General features: G+C 47.4%; 1 protein-coding gene across 22 annotated transcripts in view; it reads right to left on the bottom strand.

Annotated features, from left to right (window-relative positions):
- The window catches only part of NSD2 (nuclear receptor binding SET domain protein 2), a 110,800-nt gene that overhangs the window by 46,128 nt on the left and 49,415 nt on the right, over positions 1-15,257 (bottom strand). For all 22 annotated transcript variants that reach the window (NM_001440892.1, XM_047416141.1, XM_047416137.1 and 19 more), the window contains 2 exons: positions 5,295-5,439; positions 803-921 (listed from right to left, as the gene is read on the bottom strand). In NM_001440892.1, coding sequence (NP_001427821.1) covers positions 803-921; positions 5,295-5,439 — 264 coding nt within the window. The remainder of the gene's footprint in view (positions 1-802; positions 922-5,294; positions 5,440-15,257) is intronic.

Below are 15,257 nucleotides of genomic sequence, written 5' to 3'. Positions count from 1 at the left end.
ATTCCCATTCAGTAAACAATAACATGAATTACTAATAAACTAAATAAAATCTAGGTTCATTGCCTTTAATGAACTGTTGACTTTTTATTGACATGTAACACATATCTCTAATGGACTTTGATGCCAGTTCATTACTTACATCCTGAATAATAAGCCCTATAGAGAGGTTATGGTGTTTGGGGGTTTTTTTGTTTGTTTTTTTTTGAGACAGAATCTTGCTGTGTCGCCCAGGCTGGAGTGCAGTGGCATGATCTCAGCTCACAGCAACCTCTGCCTGTCAGGTTCAAGCAATTCTCCTGCCTCAGCCTCTTGAGTAGCTGGGATTACAGGTGCACGCCACCATGCCCAGCTAATTTTTTGTATTTTTAGTAGAGACGGGGTATTACCATCTTGGCCAGGCTGGTCTCGAACTCCTGACCTCAAGCAATCCACCTGCCTCGGCCTCCCAAAGTGCTGGGATTAGAGACGTAAGCCACCACACCCGGCCAAAGAGGTTATTTTTAGTGACAATTTTGTCCAATCTAAAAAACAAGTATTACTCAAAGCATTTGGATGTCTGTTTTCTTGCAGAGCAACACACCATCGGTTTCTGTGATAACACCCCTGGAGGGTAAGAACCTGCAAGCAGCCTTTCTCAATGGGGTTCTGTAAGAAATGCAAGCCTTCTGCTGAATACCAGCCTGGAAGGAGCTGGGTGCACTGACACCTGCATCTCATGTGTGCTCCCATGCAGGGAAACAGTGGCACCAAGAGTCACAGAGCATACACTCTGACAGGTCAAGCAAACCTGGAACACAATTACCTTCCGAAGACTGTGCTTGTCCGTCCTGAGTCTTTTCCTGGGTGTGTCCTCAGCTTCAGCATCTTCTGTAGGGTCCTGTATCCTCTTTGTGTGGTTTCTTTTTTTCCCATTTACATTACCTTGGAATGGGGAATGGGGAAAATGTACATGAAAACCACTCCAAAAGCTGCATTTGAAGCACTGTGAGAACCTACCCAGGGCATTCAACATACAGATCCAGCCCATGATGGGTTTCCTGTAACCCTGCTGATTTCCAGGGCTTATGTCTTACAGATCAAATCTCTTTACAACAAAAAAACTGGTGACTATATCTAACCTTAGGGATTATATTAGCATCTGTTTTATCTGTTTTTTATATATATATATATATATATATATATATATTTTTTTTTTTTTTTTTTTTTTTTTTTTTTTTAAGATGGAGTCTCGCTCTGTCACCCAGGCTGGAGGGCAGTGGCACAATCTCAGCTCACTGCAACCTCCGCCTCGTGGGTTCAAGCCATCCTCCTGCCTCAGCCTCCTGAGTAGCTGGGATTACAGGCACGTGCCACCACGCCCAGCTAATTTTTATATTTTTAGTAAAGATGGGTTTTCACCATGTTGGTCAGGCTGGTCTCGAACTCCTGTCCTCGTGATCCGCCTGCCTCGGCCTCCCAAAGTGCTGGGATTACAGGCGTGAGCCACCGCGCCTGGCCTTATAATTATAATTTAATGTATTAAAGCATTAAATTTAAATATAACCCAGTATTTTATCTATTTATTTATTTTTGAGATGGAGTTTCGCTCTTGTAGCTCAGGCTGGAGTGTAATGGCACAATCTCAGCTCACTGCAACCTCTGCCTCCTGATAGCCCAGTATTTTAAAAAAATCTTTTCCTAGGCCGGGCATGGTGGCTCATGCCTGTAATCCCAATACTTTGGGAGGCTGAGGTGGGCGGATCACCTGAGGTCGGGAGTTTGAGACCAGCCTGACCAACATGGAGGAACCCCATCTCTACTAAAAATACAAAATTAGCCAGGCATGGTGGCACATGTCTGTAATCTCAGCTACACAGGAGGCTGAGGCAGAAGAATCGCTTGAACCCAGGAGGTGGAGGTTGCAGTGAGCCGAGATTGTGCCATTGCACTCCAGCCTGGGCAACAAGAACGAAACTCTGTCTAAAAAAAAAACGAAAAACAAAAAAAAAATCTTTTCCTTACTAACATTCAAAGACTTGTGGAATTTAAGTTGAACTTAAAAAAAAAAACAACTTGCTACTTTTTAAACATTTCCTTAAACATGTTAAGTAGTAACACAACATTTATATATGCAAATTAAGGGCTTCCTCCATGTTTGCTCAGCTGTTCCATGTGTTAGGTGTTCCCAGGAATAGCAGTTAATCCAAGACCTAAGGCATCCAAACAATATCAACCTAAGACGGTAAGGTGTAAGTGCAAATTCTACAGAGATGATTAATTTCAACATGCCAATGTTTATTTTAAATATAAATCCAATATTATCATTTGCATGACTGCTTTACGGAGGGGTTCAGGGTTTTTATTAATGGACTCTTCATAAAACATCTTGCAGGGCCGGGCGCGGTGGCTCACACCTGTAATCCCAGCACTCTGGGAGGCCGAGGTGGGTGGATCACGAGGTCAGGAGATCGAGACCATCCTGGCTAACAGAGTGAAACCCCGTCTCTACTAAAAATACAAAAAAAAAAATTAGCTGGTCATGGTGGCGGGCGCCTGTAGTCCCAGCTACTCGGGAGGCTGAGGTAGGAGAATGGCATGAACCCGCCAGGCGGAGCTTGCAGTGAGCCGAGATCGCGCCACTGCACTCCAGCCGCCTGGGCGACAGAGCAAGACTCCAACTCAAAGAAAAAAAACATCTTGCAGAAGGACACTGTTGCCCTGAAGGACGCTGTCACCCTCAAGCCTCACTACTGTTGGGACAGGAGACACCAGCAAAAGAGTGCTCAGCTCCACAGGGTCCAGCAAGGCCTCAGGCAGAGGTACAAGTAAGTGTCCGTGCCCTGCTGCCAATGCATTCACAGAGCCTCACCTCAGGTCTAGGCCTGAGCCCAATGCGCAAGAAGAGTCAGCAGCCAAAGCGTGGGGGCCCTCACCAGCTGCAGTTCCAGCCTGGTGTGATGGGGGCCAGGCAAGCAGCCCTCGTGAAGCCCACTCCTGGCCACACCACTGCAGGCTGGTGCAAAGGCAGTCTGGGGAAGAAGCCCGTGGAATGCTCGGCAGCAGGACCTGCTCAGGCACTGCCAAGCATAGGCACCACATGGCACAGCCAGCCAAACTCTCGAGGCCCCCCTCAGGCAGGTCTGCCTTCAGAACACCCGTTCGTGAGCACAAAGCCAGCCCCGCGCCTCGCTTTCCCACAGGCGAGGTCCTTGACACAGCACATCCTCGACACAGCACCTCCTGAGCACCTCTCCATTCATCCAGGATGAGGCAGCAGCCGCTTCTTACAGAAACAAGCAACAGGGGCATCTGTATGGATTTTCATTTTTTTTGAGATGGAGTTTCGCTCCTGTTGGCCATTCCATTGGCTGGAATCCAATGGCACGATCTCGGCTCACTGCAATCTCCGCCTCCCAGGTTCAAGCGATTCTCCTGCCTCAGCCTCCCAAGTAGCTGGGATTACAGGCATGTGCCACCACGCCTGGCTAATTTTGTATTTTTAGTAGAGATGGGGTTTCTCCATGCTGGTCAGGCTGGTCTCAAACTCCCGACCTCAGGTGATCTGCCCACCTCGGCCTCCCAAAGTGCTGGGATTACAGGCGGGAGCCACTGCGCCGGGCTGGAATTTTTTTTTTTTTTTTTTTTTGGAGATTGACTCTTGCTCTGGCGCCAAGGCTGGAGTGCAGTGGCGTGATCTTGCCTCACTGCAACCTCTGCCTCCCGGGTTCAAGAGATTCTCGTGCCTCAGCCTCCCGAGTAGCTGGGATTACAGGCATGCACCACCAGGCCTGGCTAATTTTTTTGTATTTTTAGTAGAGATGGGGTTTCACCATGTTGGCCAGGCTGGTCTTGAATTCCTGGCCTCAAGTGATCCACCCACCTTGGCCTCCCAAAGTGCTGGGATTACAGGTGTGAGCCACCGTGCCCAGACATCTGTGTAGATTTCTAACACTGAGGTCATGGGCGCGTGACAATGATGTGGTGCGCCATCCTAGTTGTTAGCACCAGGGTCACCTGAAAGTCAGGATTAAAGGACACCCAAGAACCTGCATACACCTGACACACACTGTGGGCAGAAACTCAACTGTCACTTCTATCCACTAAGCACTCAGCAAAATATAACACAATCAAATTTATGCTTACACTTCGAGGGTAAGCTGAATCTGGCTTCAGGAAGAGCTGGCTCATTTTTAAATAAGCCAGTCATTTAAAAGGAACACGTCTCTAAATTTAGTGTACTGATAGAGTGAGGTATATTTTCTTTTAAAGAAAATATACAAGTCCTAAATATCCTTGCTATTCTAAATTATAGTATTTGCAATGAACACTGAGGAAGTTGAACAAATTCAAGATTAATGAGATAGCTGATGAAGAGATCTAGAAACACCTAAATCAAGATGAAAACATCTGAGAAAGAGAAAGGTGACAGCAGGCACATGTGGCCAGACCCTTTCGCTTCTGGGCCCCGACTTCCCTTTAGGTGAGTCTTGAAACACTTTATGTTTGGACTCTCCAAAGCTCCTCAATGATGACTCTTCAGATATACAGTACTTTTTTTTTTAATTTTAAATTGATACCCTAATATGTCAGTTATTTTTACATTCAAATCTCAGTTTTCCACAATTTACATCCAAGCACATATTTATCACAAATCTAACCACTGTTACACATCTTCAAATCTTACAATGTCAGCTCTCCCTCCTCTTGCCACTGCCCAAAGCAAACTAGCACTTTTGGTTTTTTTAAGCCGAAGGCCTAGGAAGGACCAAAGGATACCTGAATTCAAGGTCAGTCCAGTCACCCTTCTTGCCCTATGAGCTCTCAGGCAAACAAGCCAGGAGCTGCCCACACTCCGGACCCCTGTAAGGTGCAGACTACAGCCGAAACCAGGAGGATTGCTCTCAGAAGCAAGAAAAGTGCTGCCTCCTCGGAAGTCACAGGCCTGAAGGCTGACCCTACCACATCATGTAAGCCTGGAATCCAAGAGACGACCTTCCCTCCCCTTCCTTCTTGTGTCCTCTCTTCACACAGCCCCATCAGCAGCAGTGACCACAGTGGCTGCTCAACTTGGGTAGGAGAGCAAGGGAGCCACAGGCCAGAAGGCACTACATTGAATAGCTCTCATAAGCCAGTAAACGCAGATGGCAGAAGCTGTTTTTACTGTGACCACACGCACTTGGACCGCTGGCCCAAACCCCACGGGTCAGAAACAGGGAGAGTGGACACACTTCCCTACGGTTCCAAGATCAGAGCTCAGCTTGCTACACTACACACATCAACCCAAGCAGAGGACATCAGCATAATGCTATGTTTACCAGAGTCTTCTTCAGCCTGGACAGGGGCCACCAGGGCAAACTTGGTGTTGTAGCGTGCTCTCTGCTTCTCACTCAGCAGACTCCACTGTGACCTGAGCAGCTCTTCAATCTCCTCACCTGAAGCATCTGGGTGCTCAGCTACCACCTGTGGGAACGGGAGAAGGTGCAATGAGAAGTTAAATCCGTAAAACTCATTGGGTTTTGTTTTGCATGAAATCAAATGCACGGCCCTTTAGAACTTAGTGTGTCGCATTTTTATTCCCACATCGTGGAACTATGTCCATAAAAGCTTCAAAGAAAAGTAGTGCTTAACTGATGCTGTGACTCAATGAAAACTCATAAATTAGAATAGTGCCAGTGAAAACAATTCAACTCTACTTCTGTAAATGTTGGAAATGATAAATGATAAAAATATATATATACTTTTCCAAAACCACTAACTCACTTAAGACCCAGCCTCTAGGCACCCCTGAAAAATTAGCTGTAGAGCCAGTGCCACAGGAACGCTGCCCCTGAACATGGAGGTGGGCTCAGCTCAGTGTCCTCACTGGGCAGCACCTACCCTCGTCTTTCAGGTACAGGCCCTGGGCAGGGGTGAAGGCACACACCAAGGAGTGCGAGCTGGCTTCTGTCACAGCCCAGGCCAGCACACGGAGACAACCTTGCACAGCCAAAAGACGAGGCTTCCCTACCCTCCAGCCACACCAGGGCTGCCAGCATCAGCACCCGGAGCATGCTAGAAATGCAGACTCCCGGGCCCCACCCCAACCTGCCTACCAGGAATCTGCACTTTCACAAGGTCTCTAGGATGATCCGCAGACACACCGAAGTCTGATCCTGGGGACTTCGCTCCACCTGGTAATAACCTGGGGGTTTGAAATCCTATGGTGCTTAGGTCCCACCCAAGATCAACCCAACCCACCGGGTCTGGCCTCAGTGAGTTAAAGGTTTCCCAGGGGTTGCTAATGTGTCCCCAAGTCCGAGAGCCACGGATCTCGAGAGCAGGGCACAGGGCTGACACACTAATGCCAGCCAGCCAGGTGTAACCCACCACCTGTTTCTGTTCAATGTCTGAAAAACATCATAATATTTCATGACACAAAAATTACAGGAAATTCAAACAACAGTGCCCACAAAGTTTTACTGGATGTCAGCCCCATGCATTTGTTCCCATGCTGCCCATGGCTGTCTTCCTGCCACAACAGCAGAGCTGAGCAGTCAGAACAGAGCCCTCACTGCTCACCAGCCCTTTGGAAAGTCTGCTGACTGGCTCGGCACCAACCAGCTCTGATGCTGGCTCCTCTACTGGGTAGTTCTGTGGACTTCGGCAAGTGAAGGCACTGTCTCTGCCTCCACTCTGTGAAACGGGGGCAGTAACACTCCACCTGGCAGTGGTAAGGAACCATCAGGTTAATGTTGGTTGGTTACCATTACCACCTGGACCTACCACCTGCCCAGCCAATACAGGTAACCTCTGCCCCCAAACCCAAACCCCTCCTCCCAAGACAGTCACCACAGACGGCTTCTTATAGCCTCCCATGGCCCCACCATGGGAGGCTCTTGTTGCCCTCTTGTTGCCTGGATGAGTCATGTGCTCCACTCCCTCTTGTCCTCACCCTGGCCTGGACACCAACACCCACCAATGCCCACCCACCACCTCTCTAGACAACCTGCAGACACCCCCAGCCTAACTGCCTGGGACCTCCCACCTTGAGGACACCTTCTGCAGTTCTGGGTCTGGCTCTGACCCCCAGCACTCCACCAGTGTTCCCTGTGGGGTCCCTGTCCCCAGCCCTGCATATGCCTACTCCTGCCACACCCCTCCCAACCCAGCAGGCCCTACCCTGATTGCTGCCATGACTCACTCCATGAGCCCACTCACTCCCAACTCTTCAAGCTCCAAGGGCCTCAGCTCTTCAACCAGTGGAAGTTTCTGCACAGGGCTTCGGATCCACAACACATCTGCCTCTCACCTCCTCAAACACAGCACATTCCTTCACGGGCCTGCTGCCCTCCCACCCACCTCTGCCCCTGGCACCCCATCACCCACCATGACTCCAGAGCCCCCAGTTAGGATGAATGCTAACAGTGTCCTTTACTGCTTCGTCAAAGCAGAGTCACAAGCGCCCTGCAGCCACCTCGCCTCACAAGACAGCCACCACGCCTCACAAGACAGCCACCACAGACGGCTTCTGCGGGGAAGCCAGGAAAGTGTCATCATCATCTGAGGTTAACAGAGCAATGACTCCTCATTAACGTCTCCGAGCTTCACGGTGAAACTGTATGGTATGATGGTTACGAGTTCTAAAAACACAAAAGCGCATGCTCACACACAATTAGGGTCAGGTCCCAATTCTCCTACTTCCTGACTGCATCATCTCACTGAAACCTTACAACTTTTAAGCTCAGGTTAGCCAGCTATAAAGCAGAGATAATTTATATTTACCTTATAAGGTGATTCTGAGGAGTACTAGATATACTTTTGTACAATAACATACTGGCAAGGTATCTGACATGTGATAAGCACTCAATAGTGGCCACTTCTTTATTCTTAACATATCAAAAAACAAGCTGGACACATGGCTCATGCCTATAATCCCAACATTTTCGGAGGCCTAAGTGGGAAGATCACTTGAGGCCAGGAGTTTGAGACCAGCCTAGGCAACAGAGAAAGATCGTGTTTGAAAAAAAAAAAAAAAGAAATTATTTTTAAATTAGTTGGGTATGGTGGCAAGTGCCTGTAGTCACAGCTACTTGGGAAGTGGAGGTGGAAGCATCACTGCAGCCTTGGAGCTCAGGGCTGCAGTGACCTATGATTGCACCACTGCATTCCAGCCTGGGAAACAGTAAGATTCTGTCTCAAAAATAAATAAAAATTTAAAACATACCAAAAAAACATGGAAAACCAAATTTCCACAATCCCACAGCTGACTAAAACATTGCCAACGTAATTGGAGACTCTACAAATTAGAGTCTTCAGATTACATTCCCCTCCTTCATCCTGCCTGCTCCCTACACGGCTTTTTTTTTTTTTTTTTTTTTTTTTTTTTTCTGAGATAAGAGTCTCATTGTGGCCCAGGCTGGAGTGCAGTGACGTGATCTCAGCTCACTGCAACCTCTGCCTCCTGGGTTCAAGCGATTCTCCCACCTTAGCCTCCTGAGTAGCTGGGATTATAGGCATGCACCACCACACCTGGCTACTTTTTGTATTTTTAGTAGAGATGGGGGTTTCACCATGTGGGCCAGGCTGGTCTCGAACTCCTGACCTCAAGTGATCTGCCCGCCATGGCCTCCCAAAGTGCTGGGATTACAGGCATGAGGCACTGCACTGTGCTCCCCCCAACATCTTTTTAGAGTTTTCTTTTGCTTTCAGGATTCAGCGAAGAATGTTTAGGTATCCACCCTCCAAGACGACCCCCAACCCCTCTGTGAGCCCTGCCTCCTAGAGCTCAAGCCCCCACTACTGCTTACGGCGTAGTCAATAACATAGTGCAGAAATGGTTGCATATGACTCCAAGTGTAGGGCATAAAAGATATCCACCTTGCTCTTTCTTGGATCACTTACTCTGGAGAAAGCCAGCCCCCATCATGTTGTGAGGACACACCAGCAGCCCTGTGGAGAGGGCCACATGGTGAAGGACCGAGGCCTCCTGCCAGCAGCATGAGTGAGAGAAGGTACCCTGGAAGCAGATCCTCCAGCATCAGTCAAGCCTTAGGATGATGTAGCCCCAGGTAACATCTTAAATGCAACTTCAAGAGACCCTAAGGCAGAACCACTAAGCTAAGCGGTTGCCAAATTCCTGGCCCACAGAAACTGTGAGACAGTAAATGCATGTTGTTGTTTTCAGCCACTAAGTTTTGAGGTAACATGTTATGCAACAATAGATAACTAATACCAAGGCATGTAAAAAGAACTGACATAAAGCACTGGTTCCAATCTAATGGATGTGTAAAAATTAGGATCAGGAAAGGTAGAAAAGCCTTTAAAAATTAAAAACTCAGGCTGGTGCAATGGCTCACACCTATAATCCCAGCACTTAGGGAGGCCGAGGTGGGCAGATCACCTGAGGTCAGGTGTTTGAGACCAGCCTAGCCAATATGGTGAAACCCTGTCTCTACTAAAAATACAACAATTAGCTGGGTGTGGTGGCGTGCACCAGTAGTCCCAGCTACTAGGAAGGCTGAGGGGGGAGGATCGCTTGAACCCGGAAGGCGGAGGTTGCAGTGAGCTGTGATTGTGCCACTGCAATCCAGCCTGGGCAACAGAGTGAGACCCTGTCTCAAAAATAAAAATAAAAAAAATTAAAAATTCAAGCCAAACCAGGCACGGTGGCTCACACCTGTAATCGCAGCACTTTGGGAGGCTGAGGCAGGCGGATCACGAGGTCAGGAGTTTGAGACCAGCCTGGCCAACATGGTGAAACCCTGGCTCTACTAAAAATACAAAAATTAGCTGGGCGTGGTGGTGGGCACCTGTAATCCCAGCTACTCGGGAGGCTGAGTCAGGAGAATCGTTTGAACCTGGGAGACGGAGGTTGCAGTGAGCCGAGATCATGCCTCTGCACTCCAGCCTGGCAACAGTGCGAGACTACGTCTTAAAAAAAAAAAAAAAAAAAAAAATTCAGGCCCAAAAAGCCTGCTAGTGAAAATGCTGCTCATACTGGAGCCGGCCAGGTGCACTGGCTCATGTCTGTAATCCCAGCACTGTGGGAGGCTGAGGTAGGAGGATCGCTTAAGGCCAGGAGTTTGAGTCCAGATTGGGCAACATAGCAAGACCTCATCCCTATAAAAAATAGAAAAGTTAGCCAGGCGTGGTGGCACATGGCTGTAGTCCCAGCTACTAGGGAGGCTGAGGTGGGAGAATCACTTGAGCCTAGGGAGGTCAAGGCTGTGGCAAGCCATGATTGCACCACTGCACTCCAGCCTGGGCGACAGAGTAAGACCCTGTCTCAAAAACAAAAACAAAAACAAACAAACAAACAAACAAACAAAAAAAAATATATATATAGATATATAAAAAGAAGTACATTTCTTCACTAGTACGGAGAAAGGAAGCTAGAAAGTGACCTCTAGGCTGGGTGCAGTGGCTCAGGCCTGTAATCCCAGGACTTTGGGAGGCCAAGGCGGGTGGATCACCTGAGGTCAGGAGTTCAAGACCAGCCTGGCCAACATAATGAAACCCCATCTCTACTAAAAATACAAAAATTAGCCGGATGTGGTGGCATGTGCCTGTGGTCTCAGCAACTCGGGAGGCTGAGGCAGGAGAATCGCTTGAACCCGGGGGGAGGAGGTTGCAGTGGGCCGAGGTGGCGCCTTCGCACTCCAGCCTGGGTGACAAAGCAAAACTCCATCTCAAAAAAAAAAAAAAAAAAAAAAAAAAAGAAAGAAAAAGAAAATGACCTCTAAAGAGTCAGCAAGTAGCAACAAAAAGTCCTGAAGTCAGCCTTACATCTAGGGACCCTAGAAAAGGAAGGCACAGAAAGCAGCAAGGAAGTTCCACCTGACTCTATCCCTCAAGGGTTGGCCATTGGTTAACTGACAAGCCAACAAAAACCATCCTTGTGTGCACCAGCACTCCCGAAAAATAAAAAACAATGTAGAAAGACCTAGGTTACAGATGGAAGCAGGGAGGAGCTTCCTCAAGTTTAGAATTGCTTATTACAGAACAGTTAAAGAGCATCCTAATAGTCATTGCTTTTCCGATAACAGAAAATTCTTCAAAACCACCCAGCCAGAGTCCAGGGGAGGGAAGGGAGGCCCCATGGGCCTTACATCAGGAACCAGGGGTGGGCAGGGCAGAGTGTTGGACATTAACACAGAGCTCAATTTTTTGTAGTTTTTGCTTTGACAGGGTCTCGCTCTGTCATCCAAACTGGAGTGCAGTGGCGCAATGATGGCTCACTGCAGCCTCGACCTTCCAGGCTCAAGTGGTCCTCCTGCCTCAGCTTCCTGAGTAACTAAGACTACAAGTGTGCACCATCATGCCCCGTTAATTTTCTTGTTTTGTTTTGTTTTTTTTTTTGTAGAGATGAGAGTCTCACTGTGTTGCCCAGGCTGTTCTCAAACTACCAACCTCAAGCATCCTACCCTCCTCGGCCTCCCAAGGTGCTGGGATTACAGGTGTGAGCCACTGCACTCTGCCCAGAACTCAGTTTTAACTGTATACCTTCAGTTTGGTTTTATATTACTTTTAGTATAGTGCCAATCCAGACTTTCATTTTTAGCACATTTCTTAGCACTAGAAGGACCATCTGAGATCAATTTGGGTCCCAAAAAGCCAATAGGGTGGTCTTTGGACAGTGGCTTCAATTCTCAGGTACCCATTTTTTTCACAATTCCAAACTAGTGAACAGGTTGTAGAGACACAGCCGAGCAACATACCAGAGTGGCTGACGGGGCGGTTCCCACCCGACACCGCCTTACCCTGCTTCCAGGGCCCAAGAGCATACAGCACCTCACCAACCCTGCGCAGGCCTAGCTGTCAAACACTGGAGTGTCCATTCAGAGCTTGCCACTGCACCCTCCCCCAACATGCCTGAAACGGTGGCTGTACACACATTGCTGATTACTTTATACCATTTTATTTTATTTTTATTTTTGGTAGAGATAAGATCTTGCTATGTTGCCCAGGCTGGTCTCAAACTCCTGGATTCAAGTGATCCTCCCACCTTGCGCCTGGCCTGCTTTGTATCATTTTATATCCAACAATGACCACAGCTACTCCACCAGGTGTTAATGGCTCCTGCCTGGATAGACCTCTTGGCTCCTGGAGAGAGGCACATACCTTCACAGCTGCCCACTTACACTTTTTAGATGGACGCAGAGAAAGGGATAAGTTAAACTCAGTTGTGGGTATGTGGCCCTTTTCAAACTACACAAGTGATAGAATCTGCATACCCTTCAGCAATTTGTTTCTGCTTTGACATCCAATGAGTTCACTTTAATTGATGTGTAGTTACACTGTAGGAACATACCATAGTCTGTCACTGGGTAGCTTTTTGGTTTTGGACACTGTGGTCTCTCTGCGTGCAAGGGCAAAATTACTCTAGGGTAAATATCTAGGAGTAAAACTGTAAGAGAAAAAAAGGCACATCTTCAATTTCACTAGATCTTGCCAAATTTCTCTCAAAACAGGTGTAATAAATGATGTTTCACCAGCATTGTATGAGGAGTCCCACTGTTGCTCATCTTCTCAATCCCTGGCTGTTCTGAGTTTGATGTCTGCTCACCTGATGACTGTGAAGGATGACTGTGAAGGACCATCCCACCAGGATCGTAACATACAGCTTCCTGGGCATGGCCGCAGTTGAGCAGCATCTCTTCATGCACTTACTGGCTCTCCAAGAAACTTGCCCTTCTCCTTCAGAATTGTTTCGGCTCTTTACAGAATTTGTCCTTTCACTGTGTCGATGGTGTCCTTGACACATAAGAATTTTTTTTTTTTTTTTTTTTTTGAGCCAGGGTCTCTGTCACCCAGGCTGAAGTGGTGCAGTGGCTCAAGCAATCCTCCCGCTTCAGCCTCCCAAAGTACTGGGATTACAGGCGTGAGTCACCATGCCTGGCCTAGATTTTCATTTTAACATACATAGTTTTATAGCCTTTATAGCCTGTTATTAGTTTGGCTTATTTAAGAAATCCTTCCCTCTCCCATGGTGACAAAGCTCCTCTCCCATGCTGGCCAAGTTCATAAATCACAGTGGTCCCAGCACCACGTCCAGTGCAGACCTCCCACGCAACTGGCCTGCAGCGCTTTCCCATCCATGTCCACATGCTCGAGAGCCTGTTCTGGGCCCCGTCTTGGGCCATATCACTGCCCTGCGTGAATACTGCTATTTTATTTTTTATGAGACAGAATCTTGTTCTGTCACCCAGGCTGGAGTACAATGGCACAATCCCAGCTCACTGCAACCTCCGCCTATCAGGTTCAAGCAATTCTCCAGCCTCAGCCTCCCGAGTAGCTGGGATTACAGGCGCCTGCCACCATGCCCAACTAATTTCTATATTTTTAGTAGAGATAAGGTTTCATCATGTTGGCCAGGCTAGTCTGGAGCTCCTGACCTCCGGTGATCCGCCTGCCTTGACCTCCCAAAGTGCTGGGATTACAGGCGTAAGCCACCACACCTGGCCAAATACTGCTATTTTAAATAAGATAACTTCCTATCTGGTAGAGCAAATCCTCAGGCCAAGCCTCTCTTCAAATGTGGCCACAGCAGCATCCACTTACAAAGGGCAAATAAATTCCTGTTGGAAGTTTTATTAGAATTATACTGAATTTATAGATTATTAAAGGGAGAATTGACAACTTCAGAAGCTTGAATCTTCCTATATATAAATACATCTTTATTGAGGTCTGCTAAAATATCAGTTATTTTTCTCTAAAGTTACATGCATATTTCGTAATATTGATTCCGCAGTACCTGACATTTTGGTTTCTATTATCAATGGTATCTTTTTTAACATTACATTTCCTCTTTGATGCTGCACTTGTATGTTAATTTTATATCCTGGTGAACTCTATTAATTCTAAAAGATTTTCTGTACATTCTCTTGAGTTTTCTACATAGACTTCTGCAAACAATGACAGCTTTATTTATTCCTTTATAATACTGGCTAGTATTTTCTTGGAGACGAAGACTCATTCTATTGTCTAGGCTGCAGTGCAGTAGTGTGATCTCAGCTCACGGCAACCTCTGCCTCCAGGTTCCAGCAATTCTCTTGCCTCGGCCTCCTGAGTAGCTGGGATTACAAGCGCGCATCACCACGCCTGGCTAATTTTTTCATTTCTAGTAGAGATGGGATTTCACCATGTTGGCCAGGCTGGTCTGGAACTCCTAACCTCAAGTAATCCACCCACCTCGGCCTCCAAAGTGTTGGGATTACAGGCGTGAGCCACCGCGCCCGGCCTAATATTGGCTACTATTTTCCGTACAACGTTTATTAAATGGTGAAAAATGGTTTCCTGTCTTATTCTTTTTTTTTTTTTTTTTTTGAGACAGAGTCTTGCTGTGTTGCCCAGGCTGGAGTGCATTGGCGTGATTTTGGCTCGCTGCAACCTCCGTCTCCCAGGTTCAACCGATTCTCCTTTCTCAACCTCTCAAGTAGCTGGGATTACAGGCGCTCGCCACCACAGCTGGTAAAATTTTGTATTTTTAGTAGAGACGGGGTTTCACCATGTTGGCCATGCTGGTCTCAAACTCCCAGCTTTCATTGATCCACCTGTCTCAGCCTCCCAAAATGCTAGGATTACAGATATGAGCCATTGTGCCTGGCCCTCGTTCATGATTTTAAAGAGAATGCTTTTTTTTTTTAATTTGAGACGGAGTCTCGCTCTGTCGCCAGGCTGGAGTGCAGTGGCACGATCTTGGCTCACTGCAACCTCCACCTCTTGGGTTCAAGTAATTCTCCTGCCTCAGCCTCCCACATAGCCGGAAGTACAGGCGCACGCCACCATGCCCAGCTTATTTTTTATAATTTTGGTAGAGACGGGGTTTCACCATGTTGGCCAGGCTGGTCTTGAATTCCTGACCTCAAGTGATCTACCCGCCTCAGCCTCCCCAAGTGCTGGGATTACAGGTGTGAGCCACCATGCCTGGCCTAAGGAGAATGCTTCTAAAGTTTCATGTGTAATATCCTTGATGAAAGCTTCTGATACATATCCTTAAACAGATTTAGGAAGTTCCCTTTTATTCCTGGTTTACTAACCTTTTATCAATAAGCAATAATTTTTTTGTTTAAGACAGGGTCTCACTCTGTGGCCCAGACTAGAGTGCAATGGCATGATCATGGTTCACCACAGCCTTAAACTTCTGGACTCGAGCAATCCTCTTGCCTCAACCTCCTGAGTAGTTGAGACTACAGGCACATGCCATCACATCTGGCTAATTAAAAAAAATTTTTTTTTTTTTAGAGACAGGGTTTCATGTTGCCCAGGCTGGTCTCAAACTCATGGGCTCAAGCAATCCT

Source organism: Homo sapiens, chromosome 4 (genome assembly GCF_000001405.40).
Source record: "Homo sapiens chromosome 4, GRCh38.p14 Primary Assembly".
NCBI lineage: Eukaryota > Metazoa > Chordata > Mammalia > Primates > Hominidae > Homo > Homo sapiens.
This window is presented reverse-complemented; position numbering and strand designations above follow the sequence as displayed.